This window comes from Homo sapiens, chromosome 7 (assembly GCF_000001405.40).
Source record: "Homo sapiens chromosome 7, GRCh38.p14 Primary Assembly".
NCBI lineage: Eukaryota > Metazoa > Chordata > Mammalia > Primates > Hominidae > Homo > Homo sapiens.
In genome coordinates this window covers 47927326-47946502 of record NC_000007.14, presented here as the reverse complement: position 1 = coordinate 47946502, position 19177 = coordinate 47927326, and the positions used below count along the sequence as shown (strand labels likewise).

Genomic DNA, 19177 nt, shown 5'->3' with positions numbered 1-19177 from the left:
GTTTGTGTGGTGCGTGGTGTGTGGTGTGTGCGATGTGTGTGTGGTGGGTGGGTATGTGCTGTGTGGTGTGTGTATATTGTGTGTGATGCTGTGTGGTGTGTTTGTGTGGTGTGAGTGTGGTGTGGTGTGAGTGTGTGGTGTGTGTTTGTGTGGTAGGTATTTGTCCTAATGCTCTCCCTCCCCTTGCCCCCCAGCCCCTGACAGGCCCCGAAAAACACTCACTCTTAAGGGATTCTAAGAGATCTGTCATGTAATTCAAACAAATGGCTCGACTAGTTCCCTTGAGGCACATGATGCCTCAGAGACTGTGTTTGAGCCATCAGTATCATCCTGTTCCCCGACAGTCACAGTTAACTAAGAGGAAGCCAGGTACCTCTGTGAAAATGGTGCTGATTCTGTGCCAGGGCCTGGGGACCTGCCTCCTCACAACACCAGGAAAAAGAGCCTCCCTTGTATTTAAATTATCTCCCCCTTCCATTTTTTTTATTTGAAAAGACCTCTGAAATCTCAAGGAAAATTAGCTTTGCAGCACTATCCTTGGCGCCTCTGTGAGTGGAGGACACACCTGTTGGGGATGTGTTTCTCACCTTCTGAGACAGAAAATTACTTCTCAAGGGCCAACTATGTCCCAGGAACCAGGGCTGGTGTTTTCTGTGTGTAGCACTTGGAAGTTATCCTGTTGTGGGGGTGTCTGGGAGGGTCTCGGAACTTGGTGGGTGCCAGGGCTATCTAACCTTGTGTGGGCCCAGAGTGGTGGGCAGTCTCACAGCTGTGGACTGTGGGGCGCACGTGGTGGACAGAGGTTAGGTTCGTCCTTTCCTTAATTTTATTTGCCCGCTAGATCATTGCAGAAATCCTCTAAGTCTGATCTGGTCTGGTCTGTATGATTCCAAAGTTGTCCCCTTTTCTATTATTGTTATTTTTTATTTTTTCATTTCTCTGGCCTTTGGAAGACAAGCATAGTTGAGAGTAGGCAAGGAAATCCTTGGAATTATTCAACAGTTTGAGGCCTTTGACCTAGTGACCATCTTCATCTTCAAAATAACAGCTTTTCACCTCCCTGCACACTTTCCTCAACTATAAATATTGTCCTCGTCTGCCCTCTGGTGGCGGCTTCTTGGGCATCAAGAACCAGGCTTGTAAAAATTGGGTGAAACTATCCAGTTTTATCTTTGTAGAAACCTTGCTTAAGATAAAGTAGATATCCTCTAGACTTTATAGACATCCAAGACAGGTAAAAAAGAGAATTCTAAAGAGCTGAATGCATTTTTCAGGGGAAAGAACAAAGGCGAACACCTTTAGCAGCTGGTTACCAAGCATTTAGCTAATACAGGGCGGCCCTTTCTAGAATGACAGTCCTGGCAGCAGCCCCGTGAAGTAGGTCTGTGTCGTTCCTCTCAAACAGAGAAGGAGACTGACACAGAGAGGCAAGGTGACTGCCTGTGTCTAGAAGAAGTGGATGTAGAGCCTGCCCTTCTCCTTAGCACAGCAGCCTATATGGAGCTGGGAACTTGGCAACGGTTCCCATTGCCCTGTCGCTGGGAATGGGCATGGAGGAGAAACCCAAATCACACCATCCATTTCTGGCTGAATCAAGACCAGAACCCAGGAAACCCGCACCTTAGTTCAGGACTATTTCACTCGCTGCACTTGATCTTTCTCAAGTCGATTGGTGCCAGACACAGATACCTCAGGACCCAAGGAGCTACAGGCTGAAAGGGAATGACCAGGGACCAGATGATGACCCACGATGATCTCTGCTGACAAACATGAGAGCAGCAGACAGCTGTCAAGGCCTAGGGAGTCCAGAGGGAAAGTCACCAGCTGTGCCAAGGGGCAGAGCTTTGGGGCTGACTTCAGCTGCAGCTTGAGCTCTGGAGGCACACCTGTAGAGAGCTTTGAAGGAAGGTGCCATAGAATTGGCATCGGCTTTGGGTGTGCTGAGAACCAGGTTTAAACGTTGGCTCTGCCTCTCACTGATGGTGTGAGCTTCGCTGAGTTAATTTGTTTTGCTGGGCCTTCATGATCCCATCTGCATTAGGCTATTCTTGCATTGCTATAAAGAAATACCTGAGACTGAGAAAGGAAGTTTAATTGGCTCACGGTTCTGCAGCCAGTACAGGAAGCATAATGCTGGCGTCTGCTACTGGGGAGGCCTCAGGAAGCTTACAATCATGGTGGAAGGTGAAGGGGGAGCAGGTGCATCACATGGCGACAGCAGGAGCAAGAGGAGGGGAGGAGATACCACACACTTTTAAATGACCAGATCTCGGAGAACTCACAAAGACAGCACCAAGCCATGAGAGATCTGCCCCCGTGATCCAAACACCTCCCACCAGGCCTCACCTCTAGCACTGGGGATTACAATTCAACATGAGATTTGCACAGGGACAAATACCAAAATGATACCAGCATCTGAAAAAGTAACTGCACGGAACCTCTCAAGTCTGTTGTGGAAATAAACAGGGAGGATGCCATGCAGTGCCTACTCTGTGTCTGCGCTGGCATCTCTCCCCAGGGTCATGGGTTCCATGCTGTTCTTTTCTGCAGCATGCCAGATCCCCATGGGCTGGAAGAATGTGCTCTTAGGGCTGTGAGTGAGCAGCAGGAATGGGGATGATGAGGCAGGAAGAGAGGAGGAGGAAGAGGAGCCCTGGAAGCTGCCAGACCTTGCCCTGGAAGGTCAGCTCTGTGCATCTGGGCAGGAAGCCCTGGAGGCAGCAGGAAGAGAGATGGATCTGTTCGGAGGCTGTTTTAGTAGTCAGATGGGAACTATATTTCAGTTAATCTTCTAAAACAGACCCTGAGTTTGGGAAATATGAAGTGAAAAGAACCATAGATGCGAGTCTTTTTGTTCATATGGCAGCCAATTTTGTACTTAATACTTTTGTGGCAGAAATATGGATATGGATGGAAGAGTGGTCACAGGATGTCTGTGATTAAACGATTGTACTTAATTTAATTTTCCTCTGGTTATTTTCTTTCCCTTAGGTGTCTCCAGGCTGCCTGCTGCCTTTCCTTTGGTGGTGAGCTGTCTGTGAGCACTGACAAGAGCTGGGGTCTTCATCTGTGCAGCTGTAGCCCTCCTGGAGGTGGATTGTGGGTCGGTAAGGCCTTGGGGAAGGAGGCATGGCCACCATGATAAGAATGTTGCTTTATTTCCCTGGTATAAACAGGACATCTTCCACATGGGAATTTCATTTTCTGCTTTTAAGAAACAGAAGGAAGGTCAGAGTGATCTTAAACCTGCTGTTTTGCAAGTGCCTCTAACTTAAATAGTCCACATGCCAGGATGGTACACACACATATATATATATATATATATATATATATATATATTTTTTTTTTTTTTTTTTTGAGACGGAGTCTCACTCTGTCACCCAGGCTGGAGTGCAGTGGCATGATCTTGGCTCACTGCAAGCTCTGCCTCCTGGGTTCACGCCATTCTCCTGCCTCAGCCTCCTGAGTAGCTGGGACTACAGGCGTCCGCCACCACGCCCAGCTAATTTTTTGTATTTTTGGTAGAGACAGGGTTTCACCGTGTTAGCCAGGATGGTCTCCATCTCCTGACCTCGTGATCTGCCCACCTCGGCCTTCCAAAGTGCTGGGATTACAGGCATGAGCCACGGCGCCTGGCCAGGATGGTATATTTTTAACTCCTTCACTGGGCCCCACCCCTGACTTTCTGCTTTAGGAGGTCTGGGGTGAGGCTGAGATCTGGGGGCCACACTTCGAGAACAACCAAGACTGTAAGTGGGGCCTCCCAGAGCCCAATGAAGGGAATACTTAGGTTACAGGAGGTGTCTGCATGGCCACAGGTGTGGGGTTTTCCTCCTCGTCCTTAACACAGAGAGTATCTCTGTTTTTAATTTTTAAAATGAAAATTCTAAAGTGTTGCCTGAAACGTAATTGCCAGGATTCCTTTAAGTAGAAGGAATTTTTGAGTTTTCAACTTAGGCTACACATTTGGTAGACCTGAGAAACGGATTTTTAAAATTAAATTTAAAAAAATTTTTTTAATTTCTAAAGAGACGGATTTAAATGGAGTGGGGGGGCGGGGGCGCGGGGCAGGAGGCGGGTGTGTGCCTGGCATCAATGTTGAAACAATGCAACGCCAATTCTTTTGCAATTCTTATGTTAAGATCATGTGGAATTGTTACCTAAATGCCAGGGGTTTGCCTGACATCCTGCTGCTGCTGCTTACGTACAGAGCATAATCATCATGAAGACTGCGAGGATTGCCAGGGAAGAAAGCTTTATCAGGTGCTGCAGATGAGGAGAAGGGAGATAAAGTCTCAAATATATCTCCCCATCTGACTAAAACTTGGGGGTTTATATAGCAGGGAAGACGAGAAAACAAAATTAGAGAGGGGTGAGGAAGCAATCTGAGGAATGAGGGGCCTGGCTGGATGCAGGGATCTGGTGGGTCCCTTTCCTGGGTTGGTTTCCTGAGGGAAGAACTCAGATGAGATGGATGTTAAGTTTCAGGTTTTAAGACTAGGAGAGTCAGTTTCCATGTTTATTCAAAAAACCTATAAATATCACTTCTGTGGGACAATTAAGCCAATTTCAGGATTAGTTTCACTCACTTAGTTTATTTCTCCTTTTGTGACATACTTTATTCAATTTTGCAATTTTATGTACTTTTTATGATTTTTTATTTATTTCTTTCTGTTCAGGGGTATATCCACTTTTTTTTCCAGATAATTTGAGCACAGTGACTTTGATGACTAATTGGTTTCAGAGAAATATGAGTCACTTGACTATTCTAGCTTATTCCGAAACATTTTCTAAATATTTCTTCCTCTCGGATGTGTCCAGTTCAGGAAATTACTTCATACCTCAGTTGGTGCATCCAGCCTGCATGGGTGCTCAATGGCACTCGATGGCATTTGTAGCACGTCACATATTAGGCCAGGAACACGGCCTTTGATTTTTCCTCAGCTTTTGTTATCACAAGATATTAATACACTGGACTCTTGACAGTAAATAGTGACTTTGACTCACAATGTTAAAACTGGATTTGATATTGTCCTAGGCTAAACTTGAGAGTGTCCTGGGAGGCTAGGGGCAAGCTGACTGCCAGCACCACTGCTGGGGTGCAGGGATTGGAAGCCACATCCCCTGTGAGGATGGCCCAGCCCTGGCCTGGAGCTCCTGGAGAACCTGCTGCTCTCGGCGGCCTGCAGGCCTTTGGGTTCCTTTTAGCCTGAGCAAAGCTGGCCAGAATAACAGACTGGGGTTAAGAGAGCCCAGGCAGAAACAGGTTTCCTTACAGGGACTCGGGTCTGACAGAAAAGCAGCAGGGTGCTCCAGTCCCCTCTTCACCCGCCACCCCCACTTCCTTCCCCTCCTACCTGGGGATGAGAGGGGTGGGGGCTTCAGGGAAAGCAGCTCTTGCACCCAAGGCAGTCGCCTGGCTTCTTGCTGAGAGTGGCTCTGTGCAGGGCCAGGTCTAGCAGAAATATTTTCTTTTAACTTTTATTATGGACATTTTCAAACATCTGCATGAGTAGAGAGAATGGCATCACAAACACTCAAGGACCTGTCATCGCTGGCAACAGTTGTCAGCTGTGCGCAGATCCTATTCCAGATGCTCTCACAGACATGGGATGTGGCAGGGCCCTCAGCCTCCCAGCCGGGTGGACACTGGCTCCGCTCACTGCCCGGCCTTCAGCCCTCAGAGATGGGAGGAGTGAACGTCAGCCAGGTCCGTGCTACCATCAGGGCCAGATTGCCTGGGTGGGAACATCCTGCTTATAAACTTTGGAGTGTCTTTAATGGTCTTCCTGTTTGTCCAACAGCTCCCCAACCACTCCTTCCGACTGTGGTGTTGCCCCCTCTACTACACACCCCTGAGCAGGACCTTTGACCCTCATTATTTTATGACCAGACCACTGGGTGTTTCTGGAACAGGCATTCATTATCAGCGTGGCTGGTGGTTGTGCGTTTCCTCATATTGCTTAGTGTGGGCTACACCTAAGACATTGTTTAAGCAAGGAAATAGAAAGAAAACACACACAGCAGGACACGGCAGCCCAAGGACACGCATCTTCATGATCAGCCCGTTGTTAGGCCCAGGTGGCTTTGACCTTATGTATAACTTAGGGCTTCTCCAGCTTTATGTTCTCACCTTCCCAGCACATTGCAGTCTTCAGAATGTTTGCTTTTTTTTTTTTCTCTAGAGGTCTATGCTAATCATGTGCTTCTTATGAGTGATGGGAAGTGTGGCTGTCCTTGGTGTGCTCTGAATGGAAAGGCAGAAGACCGGGAATCACAGAGCCCATCCTCATCAGCTTCCAGGCAGAAGGTATTCCTGGATCTGGGGAAATTAGGCTTTTCTTCCTGAATACAGTACATGTACAGTACAGCTAAAAAGCACCTCCATGTTTCATCAGGAATTCATCAGGGATTGTTTTCCTATCATGTGTGTTTGTGCCAATGAAGCAAGTGTGACTTATAAAGCCTTAATTCAGCTCCAGAGCATAGTTCCACATATAAGAAGTGCAGGCAGGGCTAGCCCAGCCCAGAGGAGTAGGGGATAGCCCTCAGATGGGGAGTGAGGGGTAGCCCTCAGGTGGGGAGTGGGGGCTGCCCTGCAGGTGGGGAGTAGGGGCTGCCTCCCAGGTGGGAAGTAGGAGGGTAGCCCTCAGGTGGGGAGTGGGGGCTGCCCCTCAAGCGGGGAGTGGGGGCTATCCCCGGGGTGGGGAGTGGGTGCTGTCCCCCAGGTGGGGAGTGGGAGCTGCCCCGAGATGGCTCCAGCACAGACAAGGCTTCCAGCAGCCAAAGCACTGAAACCCTGCTTAACTTGCGCAGTGTGGGGAGCTCGTTGAAGACCCCTATTAATTAAGACTGGGCTACCTGGATGTTTGTGAATTCCCTTGCATCTGTTTATCAGAGTAGCTAACAGGGCTTGGGTCTGAAGGCCTGGGCAATGCCCTGGAGATGGAGGAGAAGCGTGAGAGGAGTGACTCTCACATCTGTGGGTGGGGTCCGAGAGAAGAGTGAAAACTTCTGAGTGAGACATGCTTTTCACCCAGAATAAGCATTGGTTCCAAAGGGACATGCACAGACAGCCCAGAGTTGTGCGTTTCTAGTTCAAATTTAAAGAAGCCAGTTCTCTTTGAAGCTCCCAGAACCTCTGCTGTCCTTGGCAAAGACTCTCCTGCAGTTCATTTTTCAGTATTCCTCATGCAGAGCAGCGTTATTAAACCACCCCCTCCGTAGCACATCCATCTGAGTTTATATTGAAATGAATTTGATCTCAACCCACAGTGTTTGTGTTTGGGAGCTTTTCTCTGCTCTGCCATCACTTTTGTCAGCGAAAGTTCAAGGAGGCATTTTTAGGTTCCCAAGGAAGGATATTTAGTAAGATGAGCGTCTGATGGTTCTGAGAACAGGAGGTTGGGGAGAGGTGTTTTAGAGGGGAGGTGATATTACCTGCGTTTCTCACATTACACAATGTAAATAGCCACATACAGTGACTTCCTTAGGCTTTTAGTGCCCTCACCTCCAAACACAAGGGGGCAAACAGACCTCATGCTTCTTGAACACTTGGTGCAGATCTGCTATGCAGAATCACCTAGGGAGCTTAAAAGTCAAAGAAACCAAACAAAACCATGCACAAGCCCTGCCTCTGAAGATTCTAACAGACATGCTGTGGCGTGGCTCAGGGTGATGGTGCTTCAACCCCACCCCACCCAGGTGACTCCAAGGTTCAGCCACCTGGGACCTCAGCTTTGGGCATAGATCGATGCCTTTAGGATTTGACCATCATGTCCCAAAGGGCTTGGTCCTGGTGAAATGTGCAATCAGGGGGCTCTCTGGTTTTGGTTGACTGGGAGACCCATTTCCAAGCTGCATTCTGGCCGCTCTGCTCTCTACAGCCCCAGTGGGCTCAGGCGAAGGTCACACAGGGCCATACACCAGCTCCTGGACGTGCTGGGCAGTTTGCTGATTGGGCATAGTTATAGGATAGTGTCTTGCAAAGCCCTGTGTCTCCCATGCTGCTCACTAGCACCATGCCTTTTAGGGGTTGTAGGTACATGCAGCTGTCTCAGCCCCTGGGTTTCACATCCTCAGGAAACTGCCAGGATCTACCCAGGTCCTGCTCTGGGAGGCCACAGAGGGGTTCCCTGTTCTCGTCACAGAAGAGGGGCAGGTGCCAGGCGTATGCACTCAGGCACGAGCTGGCATCTTTCAGCTCCCACTCTGGCCTTCTTGACACCTTCCTGTGTTGTTCTCCTGAAAGATGAAGCACCTGATGTCCTGTAGTTACAAATCTGTAAAAGGCCCACAGCACAGGGAGCGCACATCCCAGGGAGGGGCTGGGCCGTTGGTTAACCTATACTAACTTCTTAACTGGCTGGAACTACTTCTGGTAACAGCTCTCTCAAGAGCCAGAGTGAGGCCCTGGGCCCTCAGTCTGAGGGATGGTGGCTGCTTTTTGTAATCATGTCCACAGTGGGGCGTTGTCTCTGGACAGGCGTCCTGTGTAGGAAACAAGGTGGCCAGCTTCCCGTAGGCCAAAAGTGTCCCCCCTCCTCCTGTGCCGTGGGCACCTCCCTGCTTTCCTGGTGCCACCAGGATTGAGATTTTGTCACAAGGAGAGCTGCACAGGTCAATGCAAGGTCAACAGAGGCCTCATGACCAAGATGGGCTCCCAGCACCCCTCACCTGCCCTCCAATGCCCCCACCCCACCTAAGCTCTCAGTGTGCACAGGCCGAGCAAGCCCAGTGGCATTGTCTCTGAGTTCTCTCTTGGGCTCCATCTCACTTCCAGTCCAGCAGCCAGCCCGGCCACCCCATAGCCTCAGAGGTGTTCACCCTCTGCCTTCACTCCACAATCAAGACCTGCCATCCTCATAGCCCTCTGAGTGGATCCCCTGCTGCCACTCCTGCCTGCCAGGCTCTCTTCAGTACCGCAACCACACTGTTGCTTCTGTGCATTGGAGCGTGCCACTCTTGTGCTCAGAACCCTCCATCTCATTCAGAATGAAACTCCACTTCCTGAGTCTGACCCCACTTGGCCTCCCGTAACTCTGAGGTCACCTCCTGTGCTCTCTTGGTTCCCACTTGTGGCTGCAGCCCCACGAGACTTCTGCTGCTCCTGCAGTGAAGCAGGTGTGCCTCCACCTTCGGCATAGCTCTGCATTCCTCCTCTTCCAGCTCTGCTTAGATGTCGTCACACACAGCGGCCTTCTCTGACCCTGTGTATAAAAAAGCACCGCGCCCCCCCCCCCCACCCCCACCCCGTCCCGACCCCGCACGAATCCCTCCTGCAGCTCTATTCTTCCGCAGCACGACCCCCAGCAGATGCTGTTATGGCTACATGTTTGCTTTCTGGCTTCCTCTGGCAGAACAGGAGCCCTGGGAGGATGAAGCTGTCTGCTTTCCTCGCTGTTGCTTCTCTGGTGCCCAGCACAGTGCTGGGCGCACAGCAGGGGTCCACTGCTATTTTGTTAATGAAGTAATATTACTTTCCCAAATGTACTGGGTTTTCATAAGCAGCTCTCTCACATTATTTTATTATTTTTTCTTACAGAACATTTGGAAAACAACTAGTGAAGCAGCGTTAAGTGTTGTTAATGAAAAAACACAGGCTGTTGTTAATGAAAAAACACAGGCGCCTCTGGATTGTGATAACAGTGCTGATAGGTATGTCAATGTACCATGGCGAAATATTGCTTTTCTGAACATGCAAATGACATGGAACTTACAAAGAATTGCTCAGATGTGAAAGTCGATGCTTGTTCCTACATGGCCCGAGGGTGGGTTAGCAAATGCAGCTCTTAAATTGATGGAAAAAAGAATGGTGTTCTGAAGTTAATTTGCAGGAGTAGAACAGGTAGTATGACAAACCCCCGAATGCTGGGAGCCGTAGAAGGTGATGTCATACAAGAATCATCATCATCTCTATTTTGAAATCTGGGAAGGAATATGGTGAGCCTTCTGGGTACAAGCACTCAACATGATGGTAATTGGTTATTTCATGGTGCATAACATACAGACTTTAAAACAGCATTCGATGAACCTTGAAGACATTATGCTTTGTGAGATAAGCCAGTCACAAAAAGACACATCCTTTATAATTCTACTTATGCGAGGTCCCTAGAGTAGTCACATTCATAGACACTGAAAGGAGAGTGGGGTGGTTGCCAGGGGCTGTGGGGAGGAGGAACGGAGGGTTGTGTAATGGGCACAGAGCTTCAGTTTTGTAGGATGGGTAAGTCCTAAAAATGTACTGCACAACCATATACATGTGCATACACTTAACACCACTGAACTGTGCCTTCAAATGGTTCAGATGGTAAATGTTATGTTATTGTTTTACCACAATTTAAAAAAACACAATAGCACCAGGCAATACAAAATTTAAAGTAGACATAATTTTAAAAAATAGTTGGCCTTCTCTAATGTCACCCTGTACCTGAAATTGATGGTTTTACTCCTTCTAATGGAAATTAAACATTTAAGCATATAAAGAACAAATGTAACTTTTCTTTCTTAAAGGAAAAACATGGGTAAATGTAGATGTTTGTTTTCCTCGTTATTATTCAGTTCCACTGTTTTCACCGATGCGACTTTTCCTTTCATGTTATTGTTCAAAGGCAGTGACTGGTAGTGGCCCATCAATGTTGCCAAGAACAGCTAAACTGATCACAGTTCTTTCTGATATACCTCCAATCCACCTGATCTTTACTCTTGATTTGCTGCTATAATATTGCTCCTTTTATTTATTTGTAAAATCCTCAAACCTGACAGGACAGGGGGCAGGGCAGAGCATGTGGCTGGCACCATGCCCTGGGAGACCACGGGCCAAGTCCAACCTGTGCCAATGGACGCACATGATTCAGCCCCTAGGTGGAAATTTAGGAAAAGAAGAATCCGTGACAGCCACCTGTGAGGGCAGGCCACGCTGCACACCTGACTGTGTTCCCCCCCATTGCAGTCTCCGAGTCTTTGCTGACAGCAGTATTGGGGAGAATTGGACCCTTCAGATGGTTTGTGACCCAGACACTTGGATGCGTGGGCCCAGGTCTGTTGTTTTTCGGACTCCATTTTGCTAACAATATGCCTACCTTTTATGGCCGGATTTGTCTGTCTGTCCCCCGGAAATCTGATCGCTGAGGCCCTGTGTAGCATCCATTTCAGGGCAGAGCATCTCTGTGTGAAATTCTTACTTCTTTTGGATTCTACTGGGTAGATTGGCACATCCCCTGGAGCCCCAGTTAAGAAAACTCATTCTTTGCTGCTTGAGCAGAACAATTTTCTCCAATGCTAGGGTCAACCAATGAAGAATTTCGCAGCTTATTTTTGAGAAATTATTTCAAGACTTAGCTAAGGTGTAAGTAACTGTTCAATTAGCAAGAAATCTTCAAGTGGAATCAGCACTCCCTGGGTGCCGCCACGGGAATGTCATTCTTGTCTCTCTGCTGAGGCCTGGCAATGCAGGCAGGGCCTGTGAATACACACGAGAAACAAGAGCAGAGTGGGGTCTCCCTCTGCGGGAGCTCATTGACTCCACCTCCCACCTCCTGCTTAGCTGCCACAGTCTGTCTTGGGCCCTCACTGGTTACAAATCCGAAGTGCTTGGGTGAGCAAACCTCTGGCCTGTGTGCTTGGTTAGAAGGAAAGGGTCTTCCTTCCTAGCAACAGAAGACCTTCTTAGCTGTGAGCAGAGTTAAGCCTGGTGGGGGTACTCTTGTGTCTGTCTCCTGAGGCCTGAGCGCAATCCCCCCACCCCCAAGCCAGTCCCTGTTCTGAGGCCCTTTACTTTTGTGATTGAATCACAATCAATAAAAGCCTGACATTGTGGAAAGACACAAACATGCACGGACTTTAATCTGGACAGACACGGGTGCCCTTTTCTTTTTCCCCAGGACTCAGCTAAGACATGCAGGTTTGTTGTTGTTGTTTTCCTAAAGAAAATCACTACATTAAGAACTAAAGGGATATAAAAGGAAAAATAGGAAGCAAGTGACTAGGATGATGAATGGACTAAAAATATGTCACATTAGGAACAGCTGAAGTGACTTCAGATGTCCCTCTGGGAGGACAGAAGATCCGGGTTGACATGCCGTTGGAAGTACCTGGAAGTGGGCTTCATCTGACAGAGTGGACAGCATGTGAACCCCTGCACCACAAGCCCCAGAGCCGAAGTGTCATGAGTAGTGCAAGGTTAGAGATAACTAGGTCCACGCATGTTTGTGTTTTTCCACAGTGTCAGGCTTTTATTGATTGTGATTCAATCACAAAAGCCATGAGCTACATGGAGCTCCTAAGGAGGCAATTTTCCGTAGTATTTCCCATTACTTTGCAGCCAGAGCTGCGGGCACACAGGCTGATGCCACTCCATAAGTCAGTCAGTATTGCAAACCATACATAATAGTATACCTAACCTATAAATGGTGTAAGGTAAACATTCCACAGCAAACAAAGTAACATTTAACATCAAGAAGAAAAAGAGATAGGAGAAAGGGTTAATGAACCAGTCCAGGGGAAGCCAAGAAGACAAAAGGAGTCCCAGTCTGGACCGAAGGATTCATCAGTCTTACAAGAAAATCTTGAAGGTAGCAGAGCTTCTGGCGGCAGATGTCAAGCTCTCATCACGAGTGACTGCAATAAAGTGGCAGTTAAGACGGCCATTTGGAGCTGTTCAGGCCTAATCTTGTATGGTCACAGGGCCCTCTGGTGAGAACCAATAGTGGAAGAGTGTGCGCGTGTCCTTATCTGGTTGGATGCAGCCTTTATTTATTTATTTATTTATTCAACAAAATATCTTCTCCTTGTTGGCAGAGTGCTCTATGAAAAGAAATGGAGGCTTTTTCTAAGATGGAGTTAGTTATGTCATGGGTACACCATACACGAAGGCTGATCATGGTGAAGAGAGGGTTGGGGACAAACAGGGCGGCCCAGGCAGTGGCATGGTGGTCACTGTGAACATCCCAGGGCCAGGACGTTGCGTTGGATTTGAGGTTAAGTGCAGTCCACATTGTTGACCTAAAGAAAGAAACCGAGGCAAAGTTAATAAACAGGGAGTTTATTTGGGCCAAGGTTGAGCACCGCAGAATGGGGAAGTGCACACTGCACACTGGGAAGTGCTTTGGAAAACAAATGAGAGGCTCAAGTTTTAAAGAAAAAATGACGACTCAGGAAGGGGGCAATTACAGAAGTTGTTCCTCAGGAATTCTCGTTGGTTTACAGAAATAACATTGGTCAGTGATTGGCTATACATTGTTGAACTATAAGGTGAATGGCATTTTTTGGCTACTTGGCGTCAGTCAGTTTAGAACCCACATAGCAAGTGGCTTCAAGAGGTCATTGTTTAGCTCAAGTGGAGTGAGACACGACTGCTGTCATATTTTAATGCATCTCTGGGCCTGATCATTTAAAGGGACTCGCATTCCTCAGATAAAATGTTTCTTTTTCTTTCTCATCATCTAATAGTTTACTCTGCACCGGGGCAGGTCTATTCTCTGAGCTCCATGCTAACAGACACGGACAGTGAGCCTCAGCTGAGGCACTAGAATGATGACTCTTGTATAGGTGGGGACTGAGCTCCAGAGCCTCTGACCCTGGGCCTGTGTCCTCCAACGTGCCTCCACCACCTCTTCTGCAGAGCAGAGCAAGCCCAGAGCCAGTTGGCTGCAGGCATTGGAAATACTTGTCTTGGATTTTTCTCATGCATGATTATAATGCTGGCCTGGCCTTGCCACAGCCTGAGACAGAGACACTCACCTCATTGGAGCCATGTGGGAGGAGGGAGGCTGAGAGTAAGGCTGGTCTTGCCAGAGGTGGGGCCTGGAGCCGCCGCCGAGAAAGGAACCTGCTGTGCCTCACCCACTCCTGCAGGGCTCGCTGGGGCTCATCAGCAGGGTGAGGTGGTGATAACAGCTGAAAACAGGGTCCTATGATGGGGGACACGAAGATGACCGGCTAACTGACCCTCGTCCCTGCTGGCCAGAGGCACGGTCCTTGAGTCCCATTCCCAAGCCCTGCCTCCCTGCCAGGTTTGACTGCACTCGGAATAAGCAAGTAGTTACCACCAGGCCTTCCGCGGTGCCCCCTCAGTCACTGCACCACAGTATGTTCCAGTCAAGTCCAGGCCCCACAGGGAAGACAGAGCATGTTTTGTATGTGACTCGCCCCTTTGGGTGAACTGTCTGAAGCAGTGGCCATGGATTTTAGTCAATCGTTTAATAAGCTCTACTCTACCTAAGACTTCTCCCTCGAGTGCCTGCAGCAGCCCCGCTGGTTTGGCTTCTAACCACATCATATCCCCATGGTCAGCCTGGGCCTGACTCCCAGGAATGAGCCTGCAATCACAGCAAGGGAATTTCCAGCAAAGCCTGGTGAAGGGCATGATTTGTAATCAAATAAGCCAGATATGTGACTGAAACATGACCGGGTTTCCTTTTCTTTCTGCACTTTCCTTCCCATACAGAATTCCCCACAAACCTTTCATTATAATCGCAAGGGCCTGGAGCAGTGGTGGCCCCAGGTTCCATCACAGGCGGCTGTGTGCTACTGGGACCGCAGACAGCACATTCTCTGCTCTTCTCCAGGTTGGTATCTAACCCCTGCAATTGAATTTCATCAGAAAGCTGCTGGTGAGCATCTGATGCATATGGGGGAGACTCACCCGTATGTAGGCGGCCTCAGAGTTTGTCAGTGAACCATATTTTGCATTTCTAAGTCATTTGGACACTGCTCAGGCAGTTTGAAGGCATCTCTAAAATTTGTCACCACAGTAAGGGAAAATATTTTTGCTTTCTGTAAGAGCATTTTTGCTGTCTGTAAGAGCGCCATCTCCCAGCTGACAACCTTATAGAGTTATAGATGACCTTATGCAATTGCTAATTTTCTATTGGCTTAGCTGAAGGGGTAACATGAACTTCTAATACTAAGCAACCCTGAAATTCCTGATCAAACATGCCTCATAGTTCTAGCTGGTGCCAGCTGGGCGCTGTCTTGGCTAGTATGCTGGAAAGTGTGAATCCTACCACTCACAACATAGCGCCAATGCACGGGGCCAATTTGTGGTCACCCACCCAAATAGCAGAGACCTCAGTAGCAGTGGGGCTGTTTGTTAAATTGGCTTTTTGAGCATGGCGGACATCAGCTACTGATGCCAGACGAGGCCATTCAATAAACCCTGAACTGTTCTTAAACTTTTAAGCTCCAGGGCACCACTTCTGCAGCAGCTCCCTGCAGCCTGAAGATGGAGGCTTCCTGCTGTGTCCTGAGACTGCTGTGCTGTGCGGAGGATGTGGCCACGGGGCTGCTTCCTGGGACTGTCACGATGGAGACCCCCACCAAGGTGGCCAGACCCACTCAGACCAGCTCCCAGCGAGTGCCCCTGTGGCCGATTTCACATTTTCCCACTTCTCCCAGAAGGTACGGTGAAGGAGGTATGGAGGCCAGCACCACTTCTCCAATCCCCAGTCTGGAACCATCCATGCCCAATCCGTTAGTGATTTTAGTATCTTCGTTGTTTGCTTTAATTATAGTTGCAGTTGAGTCCAGTGACTTTCAAGTTACAATGCTGTAGACATAATTGGCCACTGTTTGCCATCAGGGACCCATGCCACTTGGTTGCCTTTATGTTTCCCATCAATCACATACTGAGACTAAAGCTTTGTCTGACTGTGTATATTTTGTTGTTGTTGTTTGTTTGTTTGTTTTTTTGACAGAGTCTCGCTCTGTCACCCAAGCTGGAGTGCAGTGGCGTGATCTCGGCTCACTGCAACCTCCGCCTCCCGGGTTCAAGCGATTCTTCTGCCTCAGCCTCCTGAGTAGCTGGGACTACAGGCATGCGCCATCACACTGGGATAATTTTTGTATTTTTAGTAGAGATAGGGTTTCACCATGTTGGCCAGACTGGTCTTGATCTCTTGACCTCGTGATCCACCCGCCTCGGCCTCCCAAAGTGCTGGGATTCAGGCATGAGCCACTGCACCCGGCCGACTGTGTGTATTTTATTTTATTTTTTTTTCGAGAGGGAGTCTTGCTCTGTCACCCAGGCTGGAGTGCAGTGGCGCGATCTTGGGTCACTGCAAGCTCTGCCTCCTGAGTTTATGCCATTCTCTTGCCTCAGCCTCCCAAGTAGCTGGGACTACAGTCACCTGCCACCATGCCCGGCTAATTTTTTGGATTTTTAGTAGAGACCGGGTTTCACCGTGTTAGCCAGAATGGTCTCGATCTCCTGACCCCGTGATCTGTCTGCCTGTGTTTTTTAACGGGACATGCACAGCACACTGGAAGAGGAAAAAAAAAAAAACATGGGAGCATGAGAATTGGCCATTAAGATACTTAAGCCATTTCTACCTCCATGATCTTCCTTTTCCTGCTTTCTTTAATCTTTCGTTTATGCCACGTAATGGTACCAACACCATATGCTTTACTCAAGACCAGCTTTTAACACATAAATGATCTTGAAAGTCCTGTGTGATTGGAAGCTGAGACTTGAGTATCCTAGACTATTTCCAACTCCCCAACCAATTTGCAGCACAAGGAGCTAGGGAGAAATGTAGAAAGGGTGGCACCCACCCTCACGGGGAGCTTTTCGCAAAAACACAGGAAGTAGTGACTTGTGGGAGATACCATCTTTCGTGTCTATTAAATCAGTGATGAGAGAAACTCTACCTTTTACTGTTACTAATGTAGCTAGAGCAGTGACTCCCAAATTTTTGCTGACCTCAGATTCACCTGGGGGCTTGCTGGCCCCACCCCAGTTTCTGACCCAGTGGGTCAGGGGTGGGTCAAGAATTTGCATGTCTCACAAGCGCCCAGGTGATGCTGATGCTGCTGGCCCTGGGACCCCACTCTGAGAACCAGTGGAAGTGAAGCCTTTCATCAGGTTTCTCAGACTTGGCTTCTAGCTGGCTGGACCCAGGCCAGGCTGCTTGGCTTCTGCCCTCCCACCCCAGTGGTCCACTGTCATGAAATCTGAAGCCTCTCCCTCTCTCCCACAGCTCCCACGGCCTTCCGCCTGGCATTCCTCGCACCCCCAGCTTCACGGCATCGCAGTCTGGTTCTGAGATCCTCTATCCCCCTACTCAGCATCCTCCTGTGGCCATCCTAGCTCGAAATTCTGATAACTTCATGAACCCTGTTCTTAATTGCTCCCTGGAAGTGGAAGCTCGGGCACCTCCAAATCTGGGATTCCGTGTTCATATGGCTTCTGGAGAGGCTCTCTGTCTGATGATGGATTTCGGGGACAGTTCTGGGGTTGAAATGAGGCTACACAACATGTCTGAGGCAATGGCGGTGACTGCCTACCACCAGTACTCAAAAGGTAAGGTGCATGGTGTCCTTATCAGGAGCCTGGGAAGGAGGTCCTGAGCTAGGGGACCCAAGAGGCAGTGTTGGGAAAAGAAAAGAAACTGCATTCCGTTTCTCTGGACTCAGCCAACCTTCCTGGCTCCAAGAATAGTAGCTCAGTGGCACACTGCGGACGTAGGTGGGTTTGTGCACTGTGTTTTGCACTGTGACCAACTCTACATACTTCATTGCATTTAATCTTTCCACTTGCCTTGTGAGGTAGATGTGGTGAGGCTGGGGACTTGCCCTGAGGTCCCAAAGGTAATGTACTGGCGCTTCATCCTACACAGAAGCAGAATTCTAAAAATAATAACTATTGAAAAATTACTTAAATTGTCCTTCAAGCTCATGCACACACATATGCACACACACAATGTTCTATATGAATTCTTTTGCACTAAAATTTCCAACATTTTGTAGTCTCAACAAAAGTAAGAAAAAATTCTTTACATTCCAGCGTTGGACCCATTCTACTCAGACAACTACTAAACCCCTAGAGATGATGATTGGGGGTGGAGGGTGAGTGGAGAGTTCTGATACTTTTCCACTTACGGATAGGATTTAATTTTTTCTTTCTTTTTTTCTTTCGTTCTTTCTTCCTTTTTTCTGAGACAGAATCTTGTTCTGTTGCCCAGGCTGGAGTGCAGTGGCGCAATCTCGGCTCACTGCAACCTCCACCTCCAAGGTTCAAGGGATCCTCCCGCCTCAGCCTCCCAAGTAGCTGGGATTACAGGTGTGCACCACCATGCCCAGCTAATTTTTTGTATTTTTAGTAGACATGGGGTTTCACTATGTTGGCCTAGCTGGTCCCAAACTCCTGACCTCAAGTGATCTGCCTGCCTGGGCCTCCCAAAGTGCTGGGATTACAGGTGTGAGCCACTGCACCTTCCCCCCCGGCCTTTTGTTTTTAAAGTTACTTTTTGAACATATACATTCTCATGGTGTAAACTCCCACATTCTAGAAAGTTATATAGTAAAAAGTCCTTTTCTATTGACCCACAGTCAACTACTGCCTTCTACTTCTTATATCTTTTATGTGTATAAACAAGTATAAGTGTTGTTTCCCCTCCTTTCCACAAATGGAAGTATACCACACACAGTATCCCACTCCTTGCCCACTTAAATGCATATCCATATCTAGACGGGCTTCCCTGTCTACACAGAAAGAGCTTCCCTGGCTTTTGGTGTGGTTGCTGAGTAGTCCATTAATTTAATGGACCAAATCTATTCAGCTCTTTCTTTTTATTGCTGAACATTGAAATTGTTTCTGATCTTTCAGCATTGCAAACAACATTGCAGTGAATAATTACATGTGTATGTCATTTAATGGAAAGCCAAGATTATTGCCTCAAATGCTATGTGCATCTGTAATTGATAGTTAATGCTAAATTGCTTTTAATTAGGACTCTTGTCCTATTTACATTCCTGTGAACGATGTAGAGATCAATATGATAGGTAAAAACAGTATCTTTCTGAAGTTTTAAAATTTACATTTTATTAGGTTCATCCTTGTCAACTGCCAGTGTATGACCATATTCAACCAAGCTGAGCACTTTCACAGTTCCATCTAATATGGGGTTTCAATGAGCTCTTTTGTTATTAAGAAAATTTGTCGGCTGGATGTGGTGGCTCACGCCTGTAATACTAGTGCTTTGGGAGACCGAGGCGGGTGGATCACGAGGTCAAGAGTTCGAGACCAGCCTGACCAACATAGTGAAACCCCATCTCTACTAAAAATACAAAAATTAGCTGGGCGTGGTGGCGCGCCCTACTTAGGAGGCTGGGGCAGGAGAATTGCTTGAACCCGGGAGGTGGAGGTTGCAGTAAGCTGAGATCGCACCACTGCATTCCT

At 48.1% G+C, this 19177-nt stretch overlaps 1 protein-coding gene across 2 annotated transcripts in view, besides 6 other annotated features; it reads left to right on the top strand.

Moving 5' to 3' along the window:
- PKD1L1 (polycystin 1 like 1, transient receptor potential channel interacting) overlaps positions 1–19177 on the top strand; it is a 186293-nt gene that overhangs the window by 14404 nt on the left and 152712 nt on the right. For both annotated transcript variants that reach the window (XM_017011798.3, NM_138295.5), the window contains 6 exons: positions 2992–3107; positions 6186–6310; positions 9545–9657; positions 14447–14567; positions 15182–15399; positions 16977–17299. In XM_017011798.3, coding sequence (XP_016867287.1) covers positions 2992–3107; positions 6186–6310; positions 9545–9657; positions 14447–14567; positions 15182–15399; positions 16977–17299 — 1016 coding nt within the window. The remainder of the gene's footprint in view (positions 1–2991; positions 3108–6185; positions 6311–9544; positions 9658–14446; positions 14568–15181; positions 15400–16976; positions 17300–19177) is intronic.
- Positions 4017–4311: a silencer, noted in NCBI's record as "tiled region #8949; K562 Repressive non-DNase unmatched - State 22:ReprW". NCBI's record gives its function as "represses a minimal TATA promoter and a strong SV40 promoter by Sharpr-MPRA in K562 cells {active_cell/tissue: K562}" and the evidence as "EXISTENCE:reporter gene assay evidence [ECO:0000049][PMID:27701403]".
- Positions 4017–5314: a biological region, named in NCBI's record as "MED14-independent group 3 enhancer GRCh37_chr7:47980802-47982001".
- Positions 4099–5298: an enhancer, noted in NCBI's record as "MED14-independent group 3 enhancer chr7:47980802-47982001 (GRCh37/hg19 assembly coordinates)". NCBI's record gives its function as "activates an origin of replication core promoter dependent on BRD2, BRD4, P300/CBP and CDK7 cofactors, and independent of MED14, by STARR-seq in HCT116 cells {active_cell/tissue: HCT116}" and the evidence as "EXISTENCE:reporter gene assay evidence [ECO:0000049][PMID:35650434]".
- Positions 4691–5314: an enhancer, noted in NCBI's record as "H3K4me1 hESC enhancer chr7:47980786-47981409 (GRCh37/hg19 assembly coordinates)". NCBI's record gives its function as "activates a minimal SCP1, AML or CMV promoter by ChIP-STARR-seq in primed H9 embryonic stem cells {active_cell/tissue: H9 hESC(primed)}" and the evidence as "EXISTENCE:reporter gene assay evidence [ECO:0000049][PMID:30033119]".
- Positions 8158–8327: an enhancer, noted in NCBI's record as "active region_25983". NCBI's record gives its function as "activates an Ori minimal core promoter by ATAC-STARR-seq in GM12878 lymphoblastoid cells {active_cell/tissue: GM12878}" and the evidence as "EXISTENCE:reporter gene assay evidence [ECO:0000049][PMID:35858748]".
- Positions 8778–8857: an enhancer, noted in NCBI's record as "active region_25982". NCBI's record gives its function as "activates an Ori minimal core promoter by ATAC-STARR-seq in GM12878 lymphoblastoid cells {active_cell/tissue: GM12878}" and the evidence as "EXISTENCE:reporter gene assay evidence [ECO:0000049][PMID:35858748]".